The sequence below is a fragment of the Homo sapiens genome, chromosome 1 (assembly GCF_000001405.40).
Source record: "Homo sapiens chromosome 1, GRCh38.p14 Primary Assembly".
Taxonomy (NCBI): Eukaryota; Metazoa; Chordata; class Mammalia; order Primates; family Hominidae; genus Homo; species Homo sapiens.
This window is the reverse complement of record NC_000001.11, coordinates 26,675,848-26,699,281: the sequence shown is the minus strand read 5'-3', so window position 1 is coordinate 26,699,281 and position 23,434 is coordinate 26,675,848. Positions and strand designations below refer to the sequence as shown.

Genomic DNA, 23,434 nt, shown 5'->3' with positions numbered 1-23,434 from the left:
AAAACAAGATAGAATAGTGTAACAAGGTACTCAGAAGTTGCAATTTCTAAGCAAATCTTAAGTGTCATTCTAGGTCGTATCTTCATATCTTGGAAGACAAGAAAAAAAGTGGAACATACATTAAAATGCAAAGGAATAAACTGGCCAGTCTCTATTTCAAAGCTCTAAAATGACTGATGACAAAACAGAAAACTAGACTTTTTGTTATTCCAGGAAAAAAACAATTTCACCAAACCAAGCCTTTAGGAGAAAGTCCCTCAAGATCATGAAAGACACCAGCTTCCCTTTAAATTAAGCTGCTATTCCAAAGTTCAATTAACAAAAGAAAGTGTTAACAAGATTCAACATGTAAACAAAGAATGAGGCCAGTCTTCCTTAAAACAGACCGCTTGAACCTAATATAAAATTCCTCAGAAAGCTCCCAGTTCTAAAAAAAATAACAAAAACTGTTTTCTGGCCCCCCATAAAGATCCCACATTTGCCACTCAATAAAAAGCCCAGTAAAATCATTTCAATTCTGCAAAGCAACCAGTGTCAAAATTACTCAAGATAAATGCATCTTCAGAGCCATCAAAGAAGTCATTTATACCATCAGGAAAGTCACAAAACCAAAACAAACAGCAAACCCATTGTAGAGAAAAAACTCAGCTACTGTTCTGACAACACAGAATTCATTTCAGGCTGCATAAAACATAACAAGCAAAATAAATCCAAGGTACAAGCAAAATGCCATTGCCTCCTCTTTTGTTTGGGCACAATGTAACAAGGGCAGGCTGTCTGAGGCTTTGCTCTTGCTGATACAGTATTGCTACTTAAACCTCCCTCCTCAAGGTCACAGCCAATTTCAGCTCTGGAATAAAAGGCAGATAGTGGCAGCGATAGTTTGGGTTATCACTGGCAGAAAAGCAGAGTGTAAAAGTTTATGAGCTCATCAGGATTGTTGTACCATTACATCAGAGGCAATTATAAATGGCCAAGAGCAGGAGATGGGGAGCCAATCAGATCACAGATAGGATGTCAACCTAAGACCAACTGTCTCCTGGCTTTGACAGAAGGATTTTACCTCCATAATTCAAATCCCAAACCAAAGCAATCTGCACTTACTACTCCAATCACTCAGCTGTTTACCAGCACTTCCAGGGAGAAGCCCAGGCCACTGGGCCGGCGGAGCCTAAGACAGGAGATGGACCGGGCTGCCCTAGGTGAACCGCAGCCGGCCTCTAGCAGCTCCCAAGCAGTCCCCTGCCCTCCCCTCGAGGTCCCCTCGAGCTCTAGGGGCCCTCTTTGAAAGCACAGATGGGGGGCGGCCCAGAGGAAGGCCGGGGGACGGAGAGGAGCGGCAGGTGAGCAAAGAAACGTTCATTCAACTCCTGGGCTCCTACCACTGCCTACACTCCTAACCTGAGCCCCCAGCGCCCCCTCACCCCCTCACCCCCGGCCAGGCCCTTCCCCGCACACTCTGCCCCGCACCCCCATCAAGACCCCTGGAGTTCGAAGGGACCAGGGGAGAGGAAAAAGAGGAGCAGACACCTCTGGAAAAACCCAACACAAAGGCTGAAGGAGGGAAGGAGAGGAAGGCAGACAGGCAGCCATTTTAAGAGAGAAGAGCCAGACAATGGCAGCTCCCCAGCAGTGGGGGCCCGGGACTGAGGGGAGCCCAAGGCTGTGGCCCGCTCACCGCAGCCGCCACCCACCCCCAGGACCACGCTCGCCCCAGCCCCCTCCCCACTCAGCTGTGTACCTGAGGGGTCCGGGCGAGCGGCTGCCCCCCGCCGCCGCTGCTCCCGGGGCTCATGGGCGCGTGGTGGCTCCTTTGTTGGGCCCCTCCCGAGGCGGCCGCCGCCGCAGCTGCCGCCGCCGCAGCCCCCCAACACTGCGAGGCCATGTCCGCCGGGCCCTTGCCGGCGCCCCCGTCCTGGGGCCCGCCACTGTAGTCGCCCCCGGGGTAGCCCTGGTAGCCCCGGGCCGAGCTGGGCGACGTGAGCAGTTGGTTGAGGGTGGGGGTGGCGGTGGGCTGGGGAGTTCCCCCGCCGGCCGCGGAGGGGCCGCCTCCCCCCATGGCCCCGAAGCGCTGCTGAGCGAAGGACGAAGACGACGAGGAGGCGGAGGCGCTGGAGGAGGGAGGCGGCTTGGAGCCGGCAGCCGCCGCCGCGCCGGAGCCCGGAGTGCCACCTCTCGGGGAGCTCAGCGCGTAGGCCGGGGCGGGCGGGGGGTAGGCGCTGCGGTTGGGGTAGTAGGAGTTGTACTGGTGGTTGGGGAAGCCGTGGTCGTGAGAGTTCTGCTGGGGCCCCGCGTAGGGCTCCAGGCCCCCGCCGCCGCCGCTCTGCAGCGCTGCCAGGCCAGGGCTTTGTTGTCCGCCATGTTGTTGGTGGAAGACGGCGGCCGCGGCGGCGGCGACGGCAGACGGGCTCCGGCCGTAGGGTTGCCCGAAGCCGTAGGCTGGGGGCGGCAAGGCGGCCGCGGCTGAGTGAGGAGGCGCCCCCACCCCATCGCTGCTGCCGCCACCGCCGCCGCCGGGCGGCTCCGTGAGGTTATTGTTCAGGGCGGGCCTAGGGCCCGCGTTCCCGTTCGAGTTCTTCAGGTCCGGCTCCGCGCCGGGCCCGCCGCCGCTGCCGGCTCCGCCGCCGCCGCCACCCCCATTGCTCTCGGCCCCGTCCTGCAGCTCCTTTCCCAGCGGCTGCGGCGGCCCCACGGCGGGGCCCTCGCTTTCCTGCCCGGCGGCTGCCTTCATTTCCCCGCGCTCGGCCGCTGCCGCCGCCGCCGCCTCGCCCCCCGCCTCCTCCCGCTGCTGCTGCTCGGCTTTCTTCAGCTCCGAGGGCGGCGGCGGCGGCGGGTTGCCCAGGCTGCTGGCGGCGGCGGGGGCGACCTGCGCGGCCATGATCCCCGCTGTCTCGTCCGCGGAGAGACCCGGCCCTGTCTTCGTCTTCTCCCCCCCTCCCACCCCGCCCCGGGGCCCAGTCCCCCGGGCTGCCCTCCCCACCCGCCCGGGCGGGCCTCGCGGGGCTCCGCTGCTGCGCTGCGCTCGCTCCTCTCCCCCCCGCCCCGCCGGCTCAGGCTCCGGGCTGGCGGCGGCGGAGGAGGAGGAGGCGGCGGCGGCGGCCGAGGCGCCGGCGGCTCAGCTGCTCCCGGCTCTGTAGGCTCGGGACCCGGCTCTCCCGGCTCATTCCCCCCAAGCCCTTGCCTGGGAATGAGGGGGGCGGTGGAGGCTCCGCTCCCCAGGGCCTGGCCCCGCTGTGACTCTCCGCTTTCTGCTGCCGGAGAAAGGAGGAGGGAGGGAGGGAGGGAGGCGAGGGGGAGGGGGCGGGGAGGGAGGGAGGGAGCGGGGGGAGGGGGACCCGGGACGGGCGGGCTGGAGGGCGCGCGGCAGCAGCCGGGGCGCCGGGAGCCAGAGTCAGAGCGCGGGCCGAGCCCGGCGCCCTGCCTCCCCTCGCCAGCTGCGGCTTGGGTCGAGGCTGCTGCGCGGCAGCGGGCGGGCGAGCAAGCGGTCGGCCGGACTGAGCGGCTAGAGCGCCCCACTCTCCTCCGAGTCCCCCTCACTCCGACACGAGGCTCAGCACTGCCATTTTACCCAGCGCCGTCGCGGCCGCCTGGCAAACCCGGAGTGGAGAGCGGAGCGGGCGCAGGCCGTGGAACGGACTCGCTCCCTTCCCTTCACAAAGGAGGAGGGGAGAGAACAAGCCGCGGCGGCGGCAGGCCCTCAGCCGCTTTCGCTAGGCAGCGCCGCCGCCGAAGGCTTCGGAGAAAACCCGGCCCGGAGCCCGCGCATCTCTGGAGCCTGCGCCGCCTCCCTCCCGGCGTCCCTATCCAGGTCTGTCCCCTCCCGGCCGTACCGAGGGGAGCGGGCAGCGTGAACTTTACCCGCGGCTGCAAAATTGGCCAGAGCCTGAGACCGCGGCCGCCTCGGCCCAGCCCTGACCCCCTGGCAGCGGGCCCGGTCCGTTGGCTGCTGCTTAGCACCTCTACAGCACTTTTCGTCTTCAAAGCCTTCTACGGACCCCGCTAAAGACCCAACCTTTTTTACCCTCTTTGCAAGCCCGAAAGAATGACTGATCATTGTTCAGACGATTCGTTTCCCACTCGCCTGCCCTCATTAGCCGGTCCTTACAAGGCTCTGGGGGCATGAGGTCCGGATTATCCCCATTTTACAGAATTGAAAGAGAGGGGAGGGAACTGCCTGTCACTTAAAGTCAGAGGGCAGAGGAGGGTGACTTTAAAAAGAAGTGGAGTCACCAAAGCTGCCTTCGGTCTACTTGCCTTTAAAAAAAAAAAAATCAAGTTGTGAGCACATTCAACAATGGGATCAGAATATCAAAATGGATTTGAAGTCAAAACTGATCATCTCACCACTAACTTAAAATGGAGGCCACTGAAGTTGCTTTAGGAGCATAGAACAGTTACCCAGCAGGAAAACCTAAACACCGTTTCTCACTCCCTCTTAAGAAAACTTAGCCTACCATGACAAGTAGCCCCAGTCTCCAAAGACAGTACCTTCTAATACTGAAAACCCACAGAAGAGGCTCCAGGGACTGCAGGAACCTGAGTGTTCAAACCATTACAGAAGAGAGATGCAGAAAATGGAAACCATTTTCTCCTTGAAGAAAAGGCACAGTCCAACAAGTCACTTAGAAAATGGATGCTTGTCAGATTTGTTTTCTATCCTGTAGCGTAAAGATTGTTTAAAGTTTACCATTACATTCTAAGAGACCCCGATTGAGCTGGAGTTGGGTAGAAGGCCAGGTTTATCTGAAAAGATCGACATACACAGAAAGCTCCAGTGTTCTCCTGATCTACAGGCCCCACCAAATCCCAGCAGCAGCCTTTTCTTCCTCAGGCTGACTTGGAATGTTCTGATATGACAGGCTACAAAAGCCAGAGGGGATTCCAGCTCCTCACCAGACCCAAGGCTGCCTTGGGAAAGGCCCAGGCCAGTGTTCCTAGACACCAGGATCTCTTTTCCCCCTCAGATTTTGTAAAGGGAGACTTCATGGCCACAGGAGCATTATCTTAGATTATGCAGGACCCGGGAGTGCTGGCAATGTCCCTGGTCACTATGAATAATTCCAAAGCCTGAACTCATTTCTCTCCCCAAGAAAACTTACTGCATCCTACACCAGAAAGGCAAAACCTTCCTGTTAATCTAAGAGTGATGAGATTTAAAAAAAAAAAAAATCCCACAGTTTTATTCTTCTCCCCTCCCCCGGCCTCAAGCCAAGAACCAAACCAGCCTACCAAGAAGATCCGACTGACTGGTATGGGCCAGTGCCCTCTTTTCACTCACAGTCCTCAGGGGCAACAACTCTCCCCGGTGCATTAGGTCCTAGAAACCAAATTATAGGCTGCCTCATAAATAGAGCTTGGCTATTTAATCAACTGCCCCTGAGCTGGCAAACAGTCCTGAGTCCTGCACACAAATGAGGATTTTTTTACATGCCATTACTCTGCCATTTTCCTTAGAGCTGGGGTGTAATGGGAAACCTGGAGCCCAGTGAAAATCTGGAAGCTAGAATGGATTTCTCTCCAAAGAAAGCCCTCATCCCCTTTCTTCAATGGCTGTGAAATATGGAAAGCGCCAAAAATCTCCTTCCCTACACGTGGGCAAGCTGTTTTGAAAACAGTCACCATTTTTCTCTAGCAATAAGGTAAAGTGCACAAAAATCTATCCACCTGGGTTGGAGGAGATAATGTGGAATTTCTCTACTTTTTTTTTTTTTTAATTCACTAGGGTTCTCTTCCACTTTTACTTTTAGAGCCCCACACCACGATCCCAGGAAATGTTGGGCTGAGGGAACTTTTTTAGAAACTGGCCCATCAGCTTTCCCTAGGGGCAGTGGCAACGGGAAAGCGGGGGAGGGGAGGAGCTGGGCACGTGGCTGGCCCGAGCAGCGAGACCCCGGCTGGGGGCAGTGGGTCCTCCCTTCGGTGGAGTTTTTTCCCCCACGGCCCCTGCCTTTTAACCCCACACCCAGGCAGCTCAGGAATCCCGGCGCAGATTGGAGAACTAGGACTAGGACAGCGCTACCCTCGCGAAAGCACCTCGGCCAACAGCCTGATGGCAAATATGGACTGAATCGTTGACATGGAAACCGGACTAAAGTCTCGCTAGCTCTCCCTCACAGGAGAGTTCTTATCGCCGTCCCCGACCGCACGGCACTTAGCAAACGCGGACTGGATTTGAGGCCTGGAGGATCAGGCGGAGTTTCTGGGCGTATTAACTCCAGCGGCAGAGCAGCCAAGGAAGGGGGCAGGGCTGCCAGGACAAACCGGCTGAAAATGGCAGAGGATGTGCTCCCATTTTATCCGGCTGCACAGCGTGCATGGATTGGGCCCGAGGACAAGGGAACAACCTATTAAAATCCAGAGAGTCAACTGCAAAATGTGGAACCGAGGCCTGGAGGGTTTGCTAGGAGAGGGAAACGTTTGCAGGGAAGACAGCCCTTCCTTTCTCGCAATTTGCTTCCCCTAAATGTCTGAAATACAAAACTCAACAAACAAACAGAAGATCGGGCTCGGCTCCTTCCTCCACCCAATCCTTGTGGGAGAAGTCGTCTTAAGCCCAGGGACCCTAGCGAGGGTTTGCTTAGATTCCTAACTAAGGCGTGGAGAATCGCTGGAGCGCCAGGTTGTTGCCCCCACACGTTCCCGCCGCGGAACAGCAGCAGACACCCAGCAGAGCTCTCTCGAGTGCGAACTGGAGCTGCGAGTTTGAGCAAAAGGGCAACTATGTCAGTTGACGGAAGCCAGAAGCAGAGTTCAAAGCCTGGCGTGGATTTCCGTCTGGAGCTGTCTGTTCTTAAAGTTTGTAACTCCGTGTTAAGAAACAGCCCCAGCGGAGGCTTTGGGATCGGTGTGAAAGTCTAGCACTACCATCTGACAGCGAGCTGCAAAACTTTGGGCTGCATATTAAGCGAGGAAAGTGGATTGAAGCGAGAGTCAAGGCAATTCATTATGTTACCGGCTCCCATACGGGAGCTGTAAAATACGAACTGGATGCACACACGGAGAAAAATGGAATGAACTCGGAATGGCATTCAACAGCTCTTCGCGGTAAAACTGTGACTGCCAAGGATCTAGAATCCCAAAGGAGCAAACCAGGAGGCCTCAAACTTGGTTGGCACACAATAAATGCTTTTCTAGATCTTTTCCCCACTCATCTCAAACTCTTAAGCAATTTGGGGTCATTTATATTTCAGAATAAGGAACACATTTTGAGAAATGTTAATTTCTGAATGAGACTTTTTTTCCCCAAAGTAGCTGTGAAAAAAAGAGCCTCAGGCATAAGTCAGCCAGCTTATTTTGTCTCAATATAAATTAAAAATTACCCTCACCACCACCTCCACCAAAACTGAAATAAAAAATAAAATAAGTAAAAGTCCAGGCTGGTCTGGCTTGTGGCAGGTTTCAAACAAAAATAACACCCAGGGCCAGTCTAATATGAGGAAAAAGATACCAAGGCTTTCATATTCTTCTAAGTACAGCCTCACTCACCAGTCTCACTGGTGAGCTTGCTGACCAGTGAGCTTATTTTTGTGGAAAAGACTGAGTAAAGCTACTACTAATATTTTTTAAAAAAACAAAAAACAAAAAAACGGGACTGGGGTTTCATAAAACCACTGGGCAGATCAGGAAATTTGGATTTCTTATTTCTGCTGAGCTCATTGAAGATTTGTATTCACCAACTAATACAAAAAATACTGTATGAAAAACCTACTTAAAGCTTGAGCCGCGCGTGGTGGCGCACGCCTGTAATCCCAGCACTTTGGGAGGCCGAGGCAGGCAGATCACGAGGTCAGGAGATCGAGACCATCCTTGCTAACACGGTGAAACCCCGTTTCTACTGAAAATACAAAAAATTAGCTGGGCGTGGTGGCACCCGCCTGTAATCCCAGCCACTCGGGAGGCTAAGGCAGGAGAATCGGTTGAACCGGGGAGGCGGAGGTTGCAGTGAGCTGAGATGTCGCCACTGCACTCCAGCCTGGGCAACAAAGGGAGACTCCGTCTCAAAAAACAAAAAACAAAACAAAACAAAAAAAAGCTTGATAGCCTCTTCATAGTCAATCAAAAGAGAAACTTAACAATTTTGTGCTTGGTACTTATTACACTAAGCTGTTTTTAGATCTGGAAGGCTAAGCACCAACAATATTACCAAGGTAAGGTCACCAATCTTAGCACAGAAGGCTATTGCCCAGGAACAGGAAAAGTCTGTTATCTAGGATTTCCCATGTTAAACCAATGTAGGTTGCTTTTGTTTTGTTTTGTTCTTTAAAACCAACCTAGGGAAATTTCACACATATAAAATGATTATAAGGGAAGTTTTTGAGAGTTGACAAGAAAATCAGAAGGAAAAATCAAACACTGTATTCTAGGTGGAGATTTCTTTCAGCCCTTGCCTGCATAAAGCTTTCTTACACTGCCATTTTACTGAGTTAGGAAAAAGAGTCAGTGGGGAAGTTTCTCACAGCAACTCTGGAATGGATCTGGAATGGAGTCTTTTATTCCAACACAAGTTCTGTAGAAGAGTTGGAAAGAGAAGGAAAAAACAGTGTAAGCACAGACAAAATGGAGGGAGGCAGGCATGCAGTCCTATGAAATAGGATAGGTGGCTAAAAAAGCAAATGTGCTGTCTGTTCTCTGCAAAGCAACCACCTTAAGAGAATCCTCCAGCATGATGATACTGGGTGTTTTTGTATAAGAATCAAAGAAAATCCAAAGAAATCTATTAGGTATAAGACAGGAATTGAGTGGCCCCTAATGAAAAACATTCTGACTAGCTTTAATAGGGTTTAAACCCATCTATCCCTACAGAAAATGCCTATTCCTAAAGATAAAATGGACCAAACAAAAAAGTCAGGCGTGGGAGTGACTACTATAGTCATAGTAGCAGTGTGGCACTCCACTCCAGTGAAATGCGGAACTTACCAATGACACCAAGGGAAAGCTGCCAGGAAAAATCAGACTGAGTTTTGGCACTTTTCCACATTATCACTTTCTTCCCTGAAATTTAACAATATTGAAACTGGATTCAGAAGTCACCAGAGGGGTTGGGGGTAGGGACCAGCAGGTTGGTTCTTATTGGCCTACCCCTCCAAAGAGACTACTAGAGACCTGTATAGAAGTGTGTTGTTGCTCTTCTAGTCTTGCTGTGGGAGGGAGAGAACAGGAGACAATGGAGGAAATAATCCAGCACACTTCATCAAGCCTATCCAACAAGCCATTTAAAAACAATACGGGAGGCCGAGGCTGGCAGATCACTTGAGGTCAGGAGTTCGAGACCAGCCTGGCCAACATAGTGAAACACCGTCTCTACTAAAAGCACAAAAATTAGCTGCGCATGGTGGCAGGCACCTATAATCCCAGCTACTCAGGAGGCTGAGGCAGGAGAAAATCGCTTGAACTCAGGAGGCAGAGGTTGCAGTGAGCCGAGATTGTGCCACTGCACTCCAGCCTGGGCAACAGAATGAGACTCCGTCTCCAAAAAAAAAAAAAAAAAAAAAAGCACGGAAACACACACACACACCTCTATCACAATGTGTATTCATTAATATAACTCATCCGCAAACTACACTCAAGAGCACACAGTGTTGTGCAACATTAGGCACTATTTTTGCCCCAAACACCAAAACCAGGATGGAGATTACACATTTTTACTAGGCCCTTTCGACTTCAGAACAAAGCCCAAGAGCTCATTGAAGTATTTTTCTCCTAATCACTCACAGCTACTTAAAAATATGGATACTCTAATTAGCTGGGCGTGGTGGCGGCCGCCTGTAGTCCTAGCTACTCAGGAGGCTGAGGCTGGAGAATGGCGTGAACCCGGGAGGCAGAGCTTGCAGTGAGCCGAGATCACGCCGCTGCACTCGAGCCTGGGTGACAGAGCGAGACTCCGTCTCAAAAAATTAAATAAATAAATAAATAAATAAAATATGGATACTCTGTCTAACAAAAACCCGAGTTTGTGGCTAACGTGTTTGCCCCTTTAGCCCAGATAAAGTTGGAAGTCCAAAGGGTTTAGAAAAGAGGGATTCTAGTTGACTCCACCACACCTACCTTCCAGTTCTTTATGAAGTAGTAGCCAGTGTTTCCAAGGTGGAATCAAGGAGAGTGGAAGTACCACACAACCTTCGGAAAGAAAATATTCTCTAGGAAAAAGCTTCAAGGTGAAGGAGGTTGCAACCTGATTGGCTACTGAGGGTTTTTAGGAGTCCATCATTATTAGTACAATTTGTCACTGATTGTAGAGAGGGTCGACAGAAACCATTTTATAATCTCAACCAAGTAATGTAGACCAAGACCGCAGTCTCTACCCTAAATACTCACCTTTCATGATGAAGCAACTTTACCCTATGCACTTGTTCATCCTCAGCAATCCTTGAGTTGCACATGCTCTTCTGACCCACTTTCCACCAAAATCGGTCTTCTCCTAAGACTTAGAAATTTTTGTGAGCCTGTTATTCTTTCAACTAGAAATTAACAGTATGATGATTGCTAATAATAACCATTCCAAAGCTGTATTTTAAAACTTCATTAAGTACCTTGTTCCTTGATTTAACTACCTCCTGGAATACTTATTAATGCTATAGAAATTACATTTAGCGCCGGGCACTGTGGCTTACACCTGTAATCTCAGCACTTCGGGAGGCCAAGGCGGGCGGATCACCTGAGGTCAGGAGTTTGAGACCAGCTCAGTCAACATGGTGAAGCCCTGTCTACTAAAAATGGAAAAATTAGCTGGGCGTGGTGGCGGGTGCCTGTAATCCCAGCTGCTTGGGAGGCTGAGGCAGGAGAATTGCTTGAACCCAGGAGGCAGAGGTTGCAGTGAGCTGAGATAGTGCCACTGCACCCGAGGGCAAGACTCTGTCTTGGGTGGGGGGTCGGGGGGGGGGAATTACATTTAGCTACTACTTGGCAGTAGAATTTTATTTTACTTTATTTTATTTATTTTTTGAGACAGGGTCTCACTCTGTTGCCCAGGCTGGAGTTCAGTGGTGTGACCATGGCTTACTGCAGCCTTGACCTCCCTGGACTCAGGTGGTTTTCCTGCTTCAGCCTCCCTAATAGCTGGGACTACAGGCATGTGCCACCACATCCAGGTAATTTTTAAAAATTTTTTCGTAGAGACAGGGTTCGCCATATTGCCCAGGCTGGTCTGAATTCCTGGGCTCAAATGATCCTCCCACCTTGGCCTCCCAAAGTGCTGGGATTACAGGCATGAGCCACTGCACCCAACTGGCAGTAGAAATTTCTGAAATTCCACAATAAAATTCATAGGAGAGCCCTGCAATAGCAGTAGTGCTAGGACTAAATGCAGTGTCAAACAGGAGCAGTCATGCTGTGCCATAACTGTTCACTGACATCACCTTTTGACTGCCTGTGAGTGATTCATATTCTCAGTTATCTGCTAATGTGAAGATTAATTAATTTAGTAGGTTCTTCACCATTGCACACCGTGCTATAGGACCAAGTCTCCCCCTCACCTCCACCACACACATGCACACACATACACACAAACCTCTGGCATCATATTTTTGTGTGTGATGCCAAAATATGAGAAATATTTAACAGGAACAACAGGAGAAACATTTTCTTTTTTTCTGTTTTTTGAAATGGAGTTTCACTCTTGTTGCCCAGGCTGGAGTGCAATGGCCCGATCTTGGATCACGACAACCTCCACTTCCCAGGTTCAAGCGATTCTCCTGCCTCAGCCTCCCAAGTAGCTGGGATTACAGGCATGCGCCACCCCGCCAGGCTAATTTTTGTATTTTTAGTAGAGACGGGGGTTTCTCCATGTTGGTCAGGCTGGTCTCGAACTCCCAACCTCAGGTAATCCACCCGCCTTGGCCTCCCAAAGTGCTGGGATTACAGGCATGAGCCACCATGCCCGACCCAGGAGAAACATTTTCTAAACAACTAAAAATATGCAGGGGACCTGGATAATAAGGGAGGTTTGTTTTCTATTGTGTTTAAGGTTTTTACTTCTGTGTTTTTAACCCCAGAAAACACACACTCGCTCTCTCTCTAAATATATATATATTTTTATATATATATATATGTATGTATACTTTTTTTTTTAGGGATCAGAGACGCTGGCCAGGATTAAGGTTATACCAAACATATTCCACACTGCCATTTTCCAAACTAAATGAAATAGCAAAAACGTGGAGAAGGAATTTACAGGAATGGAGTACTACAAAGACAGATGAAAACTCTACAGAGGTGTTCTTCTTGGAAGTGAGTGGGAGTAGGAGATGAGGAAAGGAAAGTTAAAGGCTTATGCCCTACTCAGTATTCAAAGCAAGGAGCATATAGTTTGAGAGCTAGCTCTACTTTTGAGACAAATGTCTAGACTTTCATTCTAAGTCAGGTTTCCAAATGGCTGTATCCATTCATAAACTGTAATAACCAGGATTTCAAATAGACTCACAAAATCCAGTTATAAGGACTATGTCTGCTTAGAAGCATCAGAGCAGAGGGTCCCCTCCAGTAGAATAGCCATCTCTTCACTATGATATTTTGAAACCAGTTTGCCATTTTCCACTTTTTGGTTTGGGATGTCAATCCTTTCATTCAGTTTACTATAAATGGGAGATCCTCTTATAATTACTCTACTATGATATACAACATTGAGTATACACTACTGTTGTACCTCCCATAAAGTACATTATAAGCTGATATCTACTTAAAAGGAAAAACATACCTCCAAAATAGTACAAGCCTGTTGGATTCAATATTTGTTTATAAGTTCCTAGCACTCAGATCAAGATCCCTCATTTTGTCAGGTACAGTGGCTACTCGGGAGGCTGAGGTGGGAGTATTTCCTGGGGCCTGGAATCCAAGGCTACAGTTCGCTATAATTGTGCCTGTGAATAGCTACCACACTCCTGGGCAACACATGGAGATGTCATCTTTAAAACAAAAACAGGCCAGGCCCGGTGGCTCACACCTGTAATCCCAGCACTTTGGGAGGCTGAGGCGGGCTGATCACTTGATGTCAGGAGTTCAAGACTAGCCTGGCCAACATGGTGAACACCCGTCTCTACTAAAAATACAAAAATTAGCTGGGCTTGGTGGCAGGCACCTGTAATCCCAGCTATTTGGGAGGCTGAGGCATGAGAATTGTTTGAACCCGGGAGGAGGAGGTTGCAGTGAGGCAAGATCGCACCACTGCACTCCAGCCAGGGTGACACAGCAAGACTCAGTCTGAAAACAAAACAAAACAAAACAAAACCCTCATTTTCCAAGAAAGCCCATGAACAAAGAGAAGAAAAACAAGGAAAAACTGAAGACATGGCAACTCCTATTTTATGGGAACTTAAAGAGGTTTTGGTGAGTACAAGGAAAATAATGAGGTTTTTTTTGTACTTTGAGGTCACTGGTATAATTATCAAAGGTATTAATATCAACATTATTACTACTCTGATACTCAGGTTCACACATTAGTCATTTTTTTCTTGTAGAGGATAAGATAATTAAAGTAACTTATCCTTTTCTTCTGCTCTTCCCTTTCCTTCTCGCTCTTCTCTTTTTTGTTTTTCTTTCTTTTTTTTTTTTGAGAGGGAGTTTTGCTCCGTTGCCCAGGCTGGAGTGCAGTGGCGCGATCTCGGCTCACTGCAACCTCCACCGTGCCCGGCTAATTTTTGTATTTTTAGTAGAGATGGGGTTTCACCATGTTGGCCAGGCTTCTCTCAAACTCCTGACCTCATGATCCGCCTGCCTTGGCCTCCCAAAGTTCTGGGAATCACAGGCATGAGCCACTGCGCTGGGACTTTTCCTTTTTTTTTTTTTTTTGTCTCAGGGTCACTTAGGCTCTCACACTGGGTGATTATACTTGGACTAAATAGCACAAAAATGTACACAATGTAAAATTTATACCACACCGTATGCTCTCAAACTCAGGCTCCTGTACATAACAGTGCTCATGCCAAGGATTCCTGCATGGTTTTGAAACCCAGTGCTCCTAAGGCAGCTATGTGGAATCATAAGATATTTGTTCTACTGATTCAGCTAAGTCTGGGTTTAGAATGGTCCTTGGTCTTTGTAGCAAGAGAAACATCTGTCCACCAAAATGAATGGCTAAGATGCGCCAAATCAAATAATTTCCTTAATTGGACAGATGAGAAAGGAAAGAGCAAGCCCCACTTAGAGTCCCTTTCATTGGAACTCCCCAACAGAATCCTGGTGCTAGGTGAGGAAACAGAATAAAGTCTTCCAATGAGGAAACAGAATAAAGTCTTCCAATCTTTCAATCCTTGCTACTGAAAGACTAGAATTTGATCATTAGATCAGTGTTTGGTGGGTTTCAAAATTAGTGACCTGGGAAGTCCCAGACTGGCAACCAGCACTTCCTCACTCCATGAAAGTGTGGCTGTCCCTTTCAGCTAGTTCGTTCCTTCAGTTCAGCCTTTTTGAGTGCCTCACCTAGCAGCGACACAAAGCAGAACAGTTACCTGAAGAAATTTTAAATATTCAAAGCTGCATTGACTATGTAGACCCCTTGTTTTATTTTTCAAGTTTGAAAATATGTGTTCAACAGAATTCTCTATTTAAAAAAAAAAAAGATTTTAGGGCAGGCGCAGTGGCTCATGCCTGTAATCCCAGCACTTGGGAGGCCGAGGTGGGAGGATCACGTGAGGTCAGGAGTTCAAGACCAGCCTGGCAAACACGGCAAAACCCATCTCTCCCAAAAATACAAAAATTAGCCGGGTGTGGTGTCATGCGCCTGTAGTCCCAGCTACTTGGGAGGCTGAGGCAGGAGAATCACTTGAACTCGGGAGGTGGAGTTGCAGTGAGCCAAGATTGCGCCACTGCCCTCCAGCCTGGGTGATAGAGAGGGACTCTATCTCAAAAAAAAAAAAAAAGTTTTTAAAAAATGGCATCTCCAAACTCAATTTTCTTTTTATTTCTTTTTTTTTTTCTTTTTTTTTTTAAATTGACATGGGGTCTCACTCTGTCACCTAGGCTGGAGTGCAGTGGCGTGATCTCAGCTCACTGAAGGCTCTACCTCCTGGGCTCAGCAACCCTCCCACCTCAGCCTCCTAGTAGCTGGGACTACAAGTGTACACCACCACACCTGGCTAACTTTTGTATTTTTGCTGGAGATGGGTTTTTGCCATGTTGCCCTGGCTGGCCTCAAACTCCTGGGCTCAAGCGATCCTCTCACTTCAGCCTCCTAGTAGCTGGGACTACAGGTGTACACCACCACGCCCAGCTAATTTTTGTATTTTTGGTGGAGACAGGTTTTTGCCCTGTTGCCCTGGCTGGCCTCGAACTCCTGGGCTCAAGCGACCCGCCCGCCTGAGCCTCCCAAAGTGCTGGGATTGGAAGTGTGAGCCACCATGCCTGGCCCCAAACCCAATTGTCTGTTATAGCATTTGTAAAAGTATTTGTTAACTATGTGATGTTTACCTTAAACTCAAAACATTTACCAGTTGACAGCATTAGACTCCTAATAATTTAGAAAAGAGAAGAAAACAAATTCTTAAGTTCTATACTGCTTAGGCATTCATATGGGTAGTGCTGGGTACACAGTAATAGAAAGTTGTTGGCAAGAGGTCAAATTTATAAAAGTATATTGAAAAATTATTTTAAAAGGAAAAAGCAAGGTCCAGCATGGTGGCTCACACCTGTAATCCCAGCACTTTGGGAGGCTGACGGTGTAGGATCACTTGAGTCCAGGAGTTCGAGACCAGCCTGGGCAACATGGTGAAAAAACCCGTCTGTATCAAAAATACAAAAATTAGCCAGGCATGGTGGCATGTGCCTGTAGTCCCAGCTACTCAGGAGGCTGAGGCAGGAGGATCACTTGAGCCCAGGAGGCAGAGGTTGCAGTGAACTGAGATTGTGCCACTGCACTCCAGCCTGGGCAACAGAGTGAGACTCGTCTCCAAAAAAAAAAAAAAAAAAATTGAAAAAAGGAAGAAGCAGGCTGGGCATGGTGGCTCGCCCCTGTAATCCCAGCACTTTGGGAGGCTGAGGCGGGTGGATCATCCTGGCTAACATGGTGAAACCCCATCTCTACTAAAAAATTAGCTAGGCATGGTGGAGCGCACCTGTAGTCCCAGCTACTCAGGAGGCTGAGGCAGGAGAATAGCTTGAACCTGGGAGGTGGAGTTTGCAGTGAGCTGAGATCAGGCCATTGCACTCCAGCCTCGGTGACAAAGCAGGACTCCATCTCAAAAAAAAAAAAAAAAAAAAAGGAAGAAGCACATTTCACTAACATGGTATGGTGTGCTAGAAACTTGCCTGTGACAGTATATGTCACATTTTCTTCCCTAGACGAGGAAAATCAGGGAGATAAGGTCAGCCTAAAAGTTGAAAGAATATAAAAACAAAATGAAAGCAAACAAATTGGGCAGCCTCTTGGGTCTGTCATTATAACACTCAGAGGAGACTAGCTCAAGTATTACATGGGAGGACAAGGTGCCTGGGTGATCACCTGGTGCTCCAGTCTGTGAATCTCCTGGGTCAGAGTGCCTCAAGAAGGAAGCCACAGTCCTCACTCCAGACCAAGTTGTGTGCCAGTGATGTACAGTACTAGGAATCCTTCTTCCATGGGGAGCTATTGAGGAGCAACTCAGTTCCAAAACAGGGTTTTCCAAATTGCCTCACTCTATAAGCTTCCCTGAGGGCCAGGCATTAGGAGAACTTGCCTGGTGTACCTGTAAAGGAAAAGGAAAACAACAGAGGCCACAAACCACAATGATGTAACTAAGTATGAAAGAATTTGTAACAAAAATAAAAATAAATTTTGTTGAATTATTTCAGCTTTACACTTAAAAATCAGAGACCAAAATTCCTTTTTGAATTTCTTTTTCTTTCTTTCCTTCCTTCCTCCCTCCCTCCCTCCCTTCCTTCCTTCTTTCTTTCTTTCTTTTTTTGTTTTGTTTTTTGTTTGTTTGTTTTGTTTTGTTTTGCTTTTGAGATAGAGTCTCTCTCTGTTGTCCAGGCTGGAGTGCAATGGCATGATCTTGGCTCACTGCAACCTCCGCCTCCCGGGTTCAAGTGATTCTCCTGCCTCAGCCTCCCGAGTAGCTGGGACTACAGGCGAGTGCCACCACGCCCAGCTAATTTTTTTTTTTCTTTGTATTTTTAGTAGAGACGGGGTTTCTCCATGCTGGCCAAGATGGTCTCAATCTCTTGACCTCATGATCTGCCTGCCTCGGCCTCCCAAAGTTCTGGGATTACAGGTGTGAGCCACTGTGCCTGGCCTTTTTTTTTTTTTTTTTTTTTTTTTTTTAAGACGGGTCCCGTTTTTTCACCTAGGCTGCAGTGCAGTGACTGGAATGCAATGGTGTGATCATGGCTCACTGCAGCTTCGACCTCCTGGGTTCAAGTGATCCTCCCACCTCAGCCTCCCAAGTAGCTGTGACTACAGGAGCACACCACCACACTGGGCTAATTTTTCTGTTTGTTTTTTTGTAGAGATGGGGTCTCACTATGTTACCCAGGATGGTCTCAAACTCTTGAGCTCAAGCAATCCTCCTGCTTAGAGGTGTGAGCCACTGCAACTGGATCCTTACTGAATATTCTAAACTTTTACTTTGTTTTTTTTTTTTTTTTTTTTTTGAGACAGGGTTTCACTCTGTTGCCTAGGCTGGAGTGCAATGGCACAATCTTGGCTCACTGCAACCTCTGCCTCCCGAGTTCAAGTGATTCTCCTGCCTCAGCCTCCTGAGTAGCTGGGACTACAGGCAGGTGCCACCGCGCCCAACTAATTTTTTTGTATTTTTAGTAGAGACGGGGTTTCACCATGTTGGCCAGGCTGGTCTCAAGCTCCTGATCTCAAGTGATCCACCTGCCTCGGCCTCCCAAAGTGCTGGGGTTACAGGCATGAGCCACTGCACACAGCCTAAGCTTTTACTTTGAATCACTTTATTTATTTATTTATTTATTTAGAGACAGACTCTTGCTCTGTTGCCCAGGCTGGAGTGCAGTGCCATGATCTCAGCTCACTGCAACCTCTACCTCCCAGGTTCAAGTGATTCTCTTGCCACCGCCTCCTGAGGAGCTGGGATTATAGACGCACACCACCACGCCTGGCTAAATTTTGCATTTTGAGTCGAGATGGGGTTTCCCCATGTTGGCCAGGCTCGTCTTGACCTCAGGTGATCCACCTGCCTTAGCCTCCCAAAGTGCTGGGATTACAGCTGGGCCCTTTTTTTTATTTTTATTTTTATTTTTTTTTTGAGACAGGGTCTCACTCTGTTGCCCGAGCTGGAGTGCAGTGACATGATATTGGCTCACTGTAGCCTCAACATCCTGGGTTCAAGTGCTCCTACCACCCCAGCCTCTGGAGCAGCTGGAACTACAGGCACACATCACCATGCCTGACTAATTTTTGTATGTTTTGTAGAGACAGGGTTTTGCCATGTTGCCCAAGCTGGTCTTGAACTCCTGACCTCAAGTGATCTGCTTGCCTCACCCTCTCAATGTGTTGGGATTACAGGCATGAGCCACTGCACCCACACATAGGTGTGTGTTGTCTTTTATTTGGATTGGTTCCAAATAATACATCGCTTCCAAATGATACAGGCTGGATGTGATGGCTCATGCCTGCAATCCCAGCACTTTGGGAGGCCGAGGTGGGCAGATCACCTTAGATCAGGAGTTCAAGACCAGCCTGGCTAACATGAAGAAACCCTATCTCTACTAAAAATACAAAAATTAGCCGGGCGTGGTCATGGGCCCCTGTAATCCCACCTACTTGGGAGGCTCAGGCAGGAGAATCATTTGAACCTGGAAGGCAGAGGTTGCAGTGAGCCCAGATCCTGCCACTGCACTCCAGCCTGGGTAACAGAGCAAGATGCCATCTCAACAAAAGAAAAAAATTATATTCCATATAGATATTACTAGAGGTCTAAACGACAGTGATGTCTTCAAATGAAAGAAGAAAAAATATCTTAGGGAAGCATCTCTTACAGAACCAAAATTTGAAGATTTGGGAGATTTAGAAGATTTAAAAGAAAATATGGAGTAATATAAACATGAAAACGAAAGTGTGGTAGATCCTTCATCTCACACAAATTTTGCCACATTGATAGATGCTATCTTGGGCCAGGCATGGTGGCTCGTGCCTATAATCCCAGCAATTTGGGAGGCCAAGGCAGGGGGATTGCTTGAGGCCAAGAGTTTGAGACCAGCCTGGGCAACATAGCCAGACTTAATCTCCACAGTAAAAAAATTTGCCCAGCATGGTGGTTCATGCCTGCAGAACCAGCTACTGGGGAGACTGAGGCAGAACTGCTTGAGCCCAGGAGTTCGAGGTTACAGTGAGCTATGATTGCACCATTGCACTCCAGCCTGAGTGACAGAGCAAGACCCTGTCTCAAATAATAATAATAATAATAATAATAGAAGCTATCTCACAAGTGACTATTATGTGTGTGCTATATAGTCTCTAATACTCACAAAAATCCAATAAGAGGCATTATTATGTCCTATATAAGCAAAGAAACTGAGGCTCATATAGATTATGTAATTTAAGGTTACAATACTGGTAAATGATGGAGTCAGGATTCAAACTCAGCTCTCTTATAAATTCTGAATTCTGAGGTTTTCAATAAAAATGTGCAATAAATCCAATAATGTTAGAAATGTACTTTTTCAAGGTACTAATATTAACTGTTAGTAGAAGCATCTGTGTGTGTGTGTGTGTGTGTGTGTGTGTGTGTGTGTGTGTGTGTACTGATCCCAATCAAAGAATATAATTTCTTTGGGTCTCTTAGAGCTTCTCATTTCTGAGTGTGATCCTAGGATTAGCAGTTTAAACCTCACCTTGGAGCATCTTAGAAATGCACAATCTCAGGCCCCACTTCAGACCTTCTGAAACAGAATCTGCATTTTGACAATATTCCAGGTTATTTTTCTGCAAATTAAAGTTTGAAGCCTGGCCAGGTGTGATGGCTCATGCTTGTAATTCCAGTGCTTTTGGAGGTCAAGGCAGAAGGATTGCTTGAGGCCAGGAGTTTAAGACTACTCTGGCCAACAGTTATATAGAGACCTGGTCTCTAAAATAAAATAGTTTGAGAGGCACGGTCTTTTTTTTTTTTTTTTTTGAGACAGAGTCTCACTCTGTCACCAGGCTGGAGTGCAATTGTGTGATCTCTGTTCGCTGCAACCTCTGCCTCCCGGGTTCACGCCATTCTCCTGCCTCAGCCTTCCAAGTAGCTGGGATCACAGGTGCCCGCCACCACGCCCAACTAATTTTTTGTATTTTTAGTAGAGACGGGGTTTCACCGTATTAGCCAGGATGGTCTCAATCTCCTGACCTCGTGATCTGCCCACCTCGGCCTCCCAAAGGGCTGGGATTACAGGCGTGGGCCATGGCGCCCGGCTGAGAGGCACTGTCTCAAGGATGGGTGGTTCCCTTCCAGTTACTAAGGAGGCTAAGGTGGGAGATCCCTTGATTCCAGGAGGTAAAAGCTATAGTAAGCCTAGAATAAAAAAGCGAGACCCTGTCTCAAAAAAAAAAAAAAAGATGGGTGGTTCCACGAAGAGGGATGCCTCTTACTCCCATTGTGGCCATCCACATTCATAGGACCAGGGAGGGGAAAGATGGTAAGAATGCACTCACATTATAACCTTTACTGTCTGATTTTTAAATAAATGTTCATCAGTCATTTTTTATGACAGCTTTGAAATATAATTACAATTCACCCATCAAATTGTACAATTCAATGGTTTCAGCATATTCAGAGTTATGCAACCATCACCACAATCAATTTTAGAACATCTCATCATCCTGAAAAGAAACTCCATACCCTTTAGCCTCCTCTCCCCATTCTCCCCAGCTTCAAGCCCTAGGCAACCATTAATCTACTTTCTGTACGCCAGGGGTGATGGCTTACACCTGTAATCCCAGCACTTTGGGAGGCCGAGGTGGGCAGATCACCTGAAGTCAGAAGTTTGAGACTAGCCCGGCCAACATGGTGAAACCCCATCTCTACTGAAAATACAAAAATTAGCCAGGTCTAGTGGCAGGCACCTGTAATCTCGATTACTTGGGAGGTTGAGGCAGGAGAATTGCACGAACCCAAGAGGTAGAGGTTGCAATGGGCAGAGATCGCAAGACTGCACTCCAGCGTGGGTAACAGAGTAAGATTCCATCTCAAAAAAAAAAAAAAAAAAAAGAAAAGAAAAGAAAGAAAAATATCTACTTTCCATTTCTACAGATTTGTGTATTCATGGACATTTTTTAAAAATGGAGTCATATAATATGCAGTCTTTTGTGACTGGTTTCTTTCATTTAGCATACTGTTTTCAAGTTTCATCCATGTTGTTCACCTGTCTCAATCCTTTCTCATAAGTGGTAGCATTCTTCCAACAGATGTGTGGGTGCCAGACAGCAATGTGACCCTCTCACCCACTCCTCCCAGTGGAGTTCCTGACTACCGTCGTTCCCCTACGAGAAGCCTTTCTCCTCCCGTTACTGACTACTCTAGTAAGGAGGACTTTAGCAGAGTTCTTTTTTTCCATTTTCTCCCTGGGACTTAGCAGCTCAAGTGCAGCTGGCCCTTGGCCAAGCTTCCTCTCCAAGACACCTGCAGGTGCTACCAGTGCTGCCACCTTATGCCCATTTCTTGAAGTAGTGGACACTGGATCAGGCACTGTCTTCCTCCCTGAGAGCCCTGCTCTTTGCTGTGTTCACAATCAAGGTTGTGACTCATGACAGAGTGTGACCAGGAGAGGTCGAGGGTGTGCTGTGTGGGAACTCATGCCTGGTACCTTGAAACAACCAAGAGGCAGAGAAAGAAGCAAGCGCAAATGCACATGGAGCTCAAGAGGAGCGTGATTTTAAATCTCTCTTCCTGATTATCTTGGCTGTTTCTTCAGCTTCCACTTTTCTTCCTCTCTTCAGTTCACTTTCATTTCCCTATGTTACTCCTCAAAGAATAGGGAACCTACACGTCTCTCACTGTTCATTTCCACCTGGATTGTTTTCTCTTGTCACGTCAAGGGGTACAACTGTATACTTAGACATTTGGGTATGCTTAAGTTACTTCTATAAAAAAGAATCAGTCTAAACATTCTGCCCTGCTGAATGGCAAAACAAGGAAAAGGTTTTCTGTTTTCCAAAAAAATAAAGATGTTCTTCCTGAATAAATAAAGCTACCCAAACACAAATTTTTAAGAAACACACTTAAATTATCAGTCCCAAAGAAAAACTAGCATAGTAATTAAAATACTTTCCCTAAATGTTCATGCCTGAATCTGGGACCTTGTCAAAGTTCATTCTGGGGTGCATAGTTCCATTACAGATTATCATGCACGACCCTGAACTCCCTGAGTAGACCGTATATCTCCACTTCAAGCTCTTATTCCTGGGAAAATCTTTCCAAATTAAGGCTGCAGGCACTTATCTACCTCAGACTCTCATTGCCACTCTATGATATTTATTCAAGAAATGTTTGTATACTACCACATGCTAGCCTTGTGCTATACACAAGACAGACAAGGTTCCAGCTCCCATGGGGTTTAGCTTCTAGGTAGGGAAATGTAACAGTAGACTGCAGCCCTAAGACCTGTGGTGTGCTTGGCTGAGTCCCTCAGTGTGTCTTGATGAGTCCTGTTACCCCTAAGTAAAACAGGCAAGAAACACCTTGCTGTCTTAGACAGCAAAGAAGAAAAGCAGATGGACTGGGTGTAGTGGCTCACACCTGTAATCCCAGCACTTTGGGAGGCTGAGGCAGGCTGATCATTTGAGATCAGGAGTTTGAGACCAGCCTGGTTGAAATGGTGAAACCCCGTCTCAATTAAAAATACAAATGTTAACTGGAGGTGGTGGCGGGCGCCTGTAATCCCAGCTACTGGGAAGGCTGAGGCAGGAGAATCACTTGAACCTGGGAGGTGGAGGTTTCAGTGAGCCGAGATCGTGCCACTCCACTCAAGCCTGGGCGACAGAGTGAGACTCAGTCTCAAAATACAAAACAAAACAAAACAAAAAACAGAAGAAAAGCAGATGGGCTCAGGTGGTCTTGGCTGATAGCCTCACAGAATCTTCTGCCTTCATCTTACTTTGACCTTCCAATAACTCCCTGAGAGCCTCAGAAGCATCCCAAAGTGATAACCATACCATTAATGGATTTCATGACCTTATTAAATTCTTAAACTTTTTTTTTTTTTTTTTGAGACAAAGTCTCGCTCTGTCACCCAGGCTGGAGTGCAGTGGCGCGATCTCGGCTCACTGCAAGCTCTGCCTTCCAGGGTTCACGCCATTCTTCTGCCTCAGCCTCCCAAGTAGCTGGGACTACAGGCACCCACCACCACGCCCAGCTAATTTTTTGTATTTTTAGTAGAGACAGGGTTTCACCATGTTAGCCAGGATGATCTCGATTTCCTGACCTCGTGATCCGCCCGCCTCGGCCTCCCAAAGTGCTGGGATTTCAGGCGTGAGCCACCGCGCCCAGCCTTTTAAACACTTAAACTCTAGCATATATGTATG

General features: G+C 48.0%; 2 protein-coding genes and 2 long non-coding RNA genes across 5 annotated transcripts in view, besides 10 other annotated features; 2 read left to right on the top strand and 2 right to left on the bottom strand.

The window, feature by feature from the left end:
- Positions 1-3,267, bottom strand: part of ARID1A (AT-rich interaction domain 1A) — an 86,090-nt gene extending 82,823 nt beyond the window's left edge. For both annotated transcript variants that reach the window (NM_006015.6, NM_139135.4), the window contains exon 1: positions 1,742-3,267. In NM_006015.6, the coding sequence (NP_006006.3) occupies positions 1,742-2,878 (1,137 nt within the window). In that variant the 5' untranslated portion in view covers positions 2,879-3,267. The remainder of the gene's footprint in view (positions 1-1,741) is intronic.
- Positions 1,654-2,253: a silencer, noted in NCBI's record as "silent region_489". NCBI's record gives its function as "represses an Ori minimal core promoter by ATAC-STARR-seq in GM12878 lymphoblastoid cells {active_cell/tissue: GM12878}" and the evidence as "EXISTENCE:reporter gene assay evidence [ECO:0000049][PMID:35858748]".
- Positions 2,304-2,633: a silencer, noted in NCBI's record as "silent region_488". NCBI's record gives its function as "represses an Ori minimal core promoter by ATAC-STARR-seq in GM12878 lymphoblastoid cells {active_cell/tissue: GM12878}" and the evidence as "EXISTENCE:reporter gene assay evidence [ECO:0000049][PMID:35858748]".
- Positions 2,304-4,434: a biological region, named in NCBI's record as "hESC enhancers GRCh37_chr1:27021339-27022275 and GRCh37_chr1:27022276-27023211".
- Positions 2,562-3,497: an enhancer, noted in NCBI's record as "NANOG-H3K27ac-H3K4me1 hESC enhancer chr1:27022276-27023211 (GRCh37/hg19 assembly coordinates)". NCBI's record gives its function as "activates a minimal SCP1, AML or CMV promoter by ChIP-STARR-seq in primed H9 embryonic stem cells {active_cell/tissue: H9 hESC(primed)}" and the evidence as "EXISTENCE:reporter gene assay evidence [ECO:0000049][PMID:30033119]".
- Positions 2,877-7,374, top strand: LOC124900417 (translation initiation factor IF-2-like). The gene is made up of 2 exons (XM_047439473.1): positions 2,877-3,065; positions 3,317-7,374. Exons 1-2 carry the CDS (start codon positions 2,877-2,879, stop codon positions 4,001-4,003), a joined length of 876 nt encoding a protein of 291 aa, XP_047295429.1. The 3' UTR covers positions 4,004-7,374.
- Positions 3,004-3,163: a silencer, noted in NCBI's record as "silent region_487". NCBI's record gives its function as "represses an Ori minimal core promoter by ATAC-STARR-seq in GM12878 lymphoblastoid cells {active_cell/tissue: GM12878}" and the evidence as "EXISTENCE:reporter gene assay evidence [ECO:0000049][PMID:35858748]".
- Positions 3,254-3,583: a silencer, noted in NCBI's record as "silent region_486". NCBI's record gives its function as "represses an Ori minimal core promoter by ATAC-STARR-seq in GM12878 lymphoblastoid cells {active_cell/tissue: GM12878}" and the evidence as "EXISTENCE:reporter gene assay evidence [ECO:0000049][PMID:35858748]".
- Positions 3,498-4,434: an enhancer, noted in NCBI's record as "H3K27ac hESC enhancer chr1:27021339-27022275 (GRCh37/hg19 assembly coordinates)". NCBI's record gives its function as "activates a minimal SCP1, AML or CMV promoter by ChIP-STARR-seq in primed H9 embryonic stem cells {active_cell/tissue: H9 hESC(primed)}" and the evidence as "EXISTENCE:reporter gene assay evidence [ECO:0000049][PMID:30033119]".
- On the top strand, positions 5,151-7,372 carry LOC101928728 (uncharacterized). Its single transcript, NR_135804.1, has one exon. It is a non-coding gene; the product is annotated as an uncharacterized LOC101928728 (long non-coding RNA).
- Positions 6,083-6,597: an enhancer, noted in NCBI's record as "H3K27ac hESC enhancer chr1:27019176-27019690 (GRCh37/hg19 assembly coordinates)". NCBI's record gives its function as "activates a minimal SCP1, AML or CMV promoter by ChIP-STARR-seq in naive H9 embryonic stem cells {active_cell/tissue: H9 hESC(naive)}" and the evidence as "EXISTENCE:reporter gene assay evidence [ECO:0000049][PMID:30033119]".
- Positions 6,267-6,366: an enhancer, noted in NCBI's record as "active region_516". NCBI's record gives its function as "activates an Ori minimal core promoter by ATAC-STARR-seq in GM12878 lymphoblastoid cells {active_cell/tissue: GM12878}" and the evidence as "EXISTENCE:reporter gene assay evidence [ECO:0000049][PMID:35858748]".
- Positions 8,470-10,100, bottom strand: LOC105376888 (uncharacterized). Its single transcript, XR_001737950.2, has 3 exons — positions 10,045-10,100; positions 8,917-8,991; positions 8,470-8,506 (listed from the first exon to the last, which is right to left on the bottom strand). It is a non-coding gene; the product is annotated as an uncharacterized LOC105376888 (long non-coding RNA).
- Positions 21,292-21,341: an enhancer, noted in NCBI's record as "active region_515". NCBI's record gives its function as "activates an Ori minimal core promoter by ATAC-STARR-seq in GM12878 lymphoblastoid cells {active_cell/tissue: GM12878}" and the evidence as "EXISTENCE:reporter gene assay evidence [ECO:0000049][PMID:35858748]".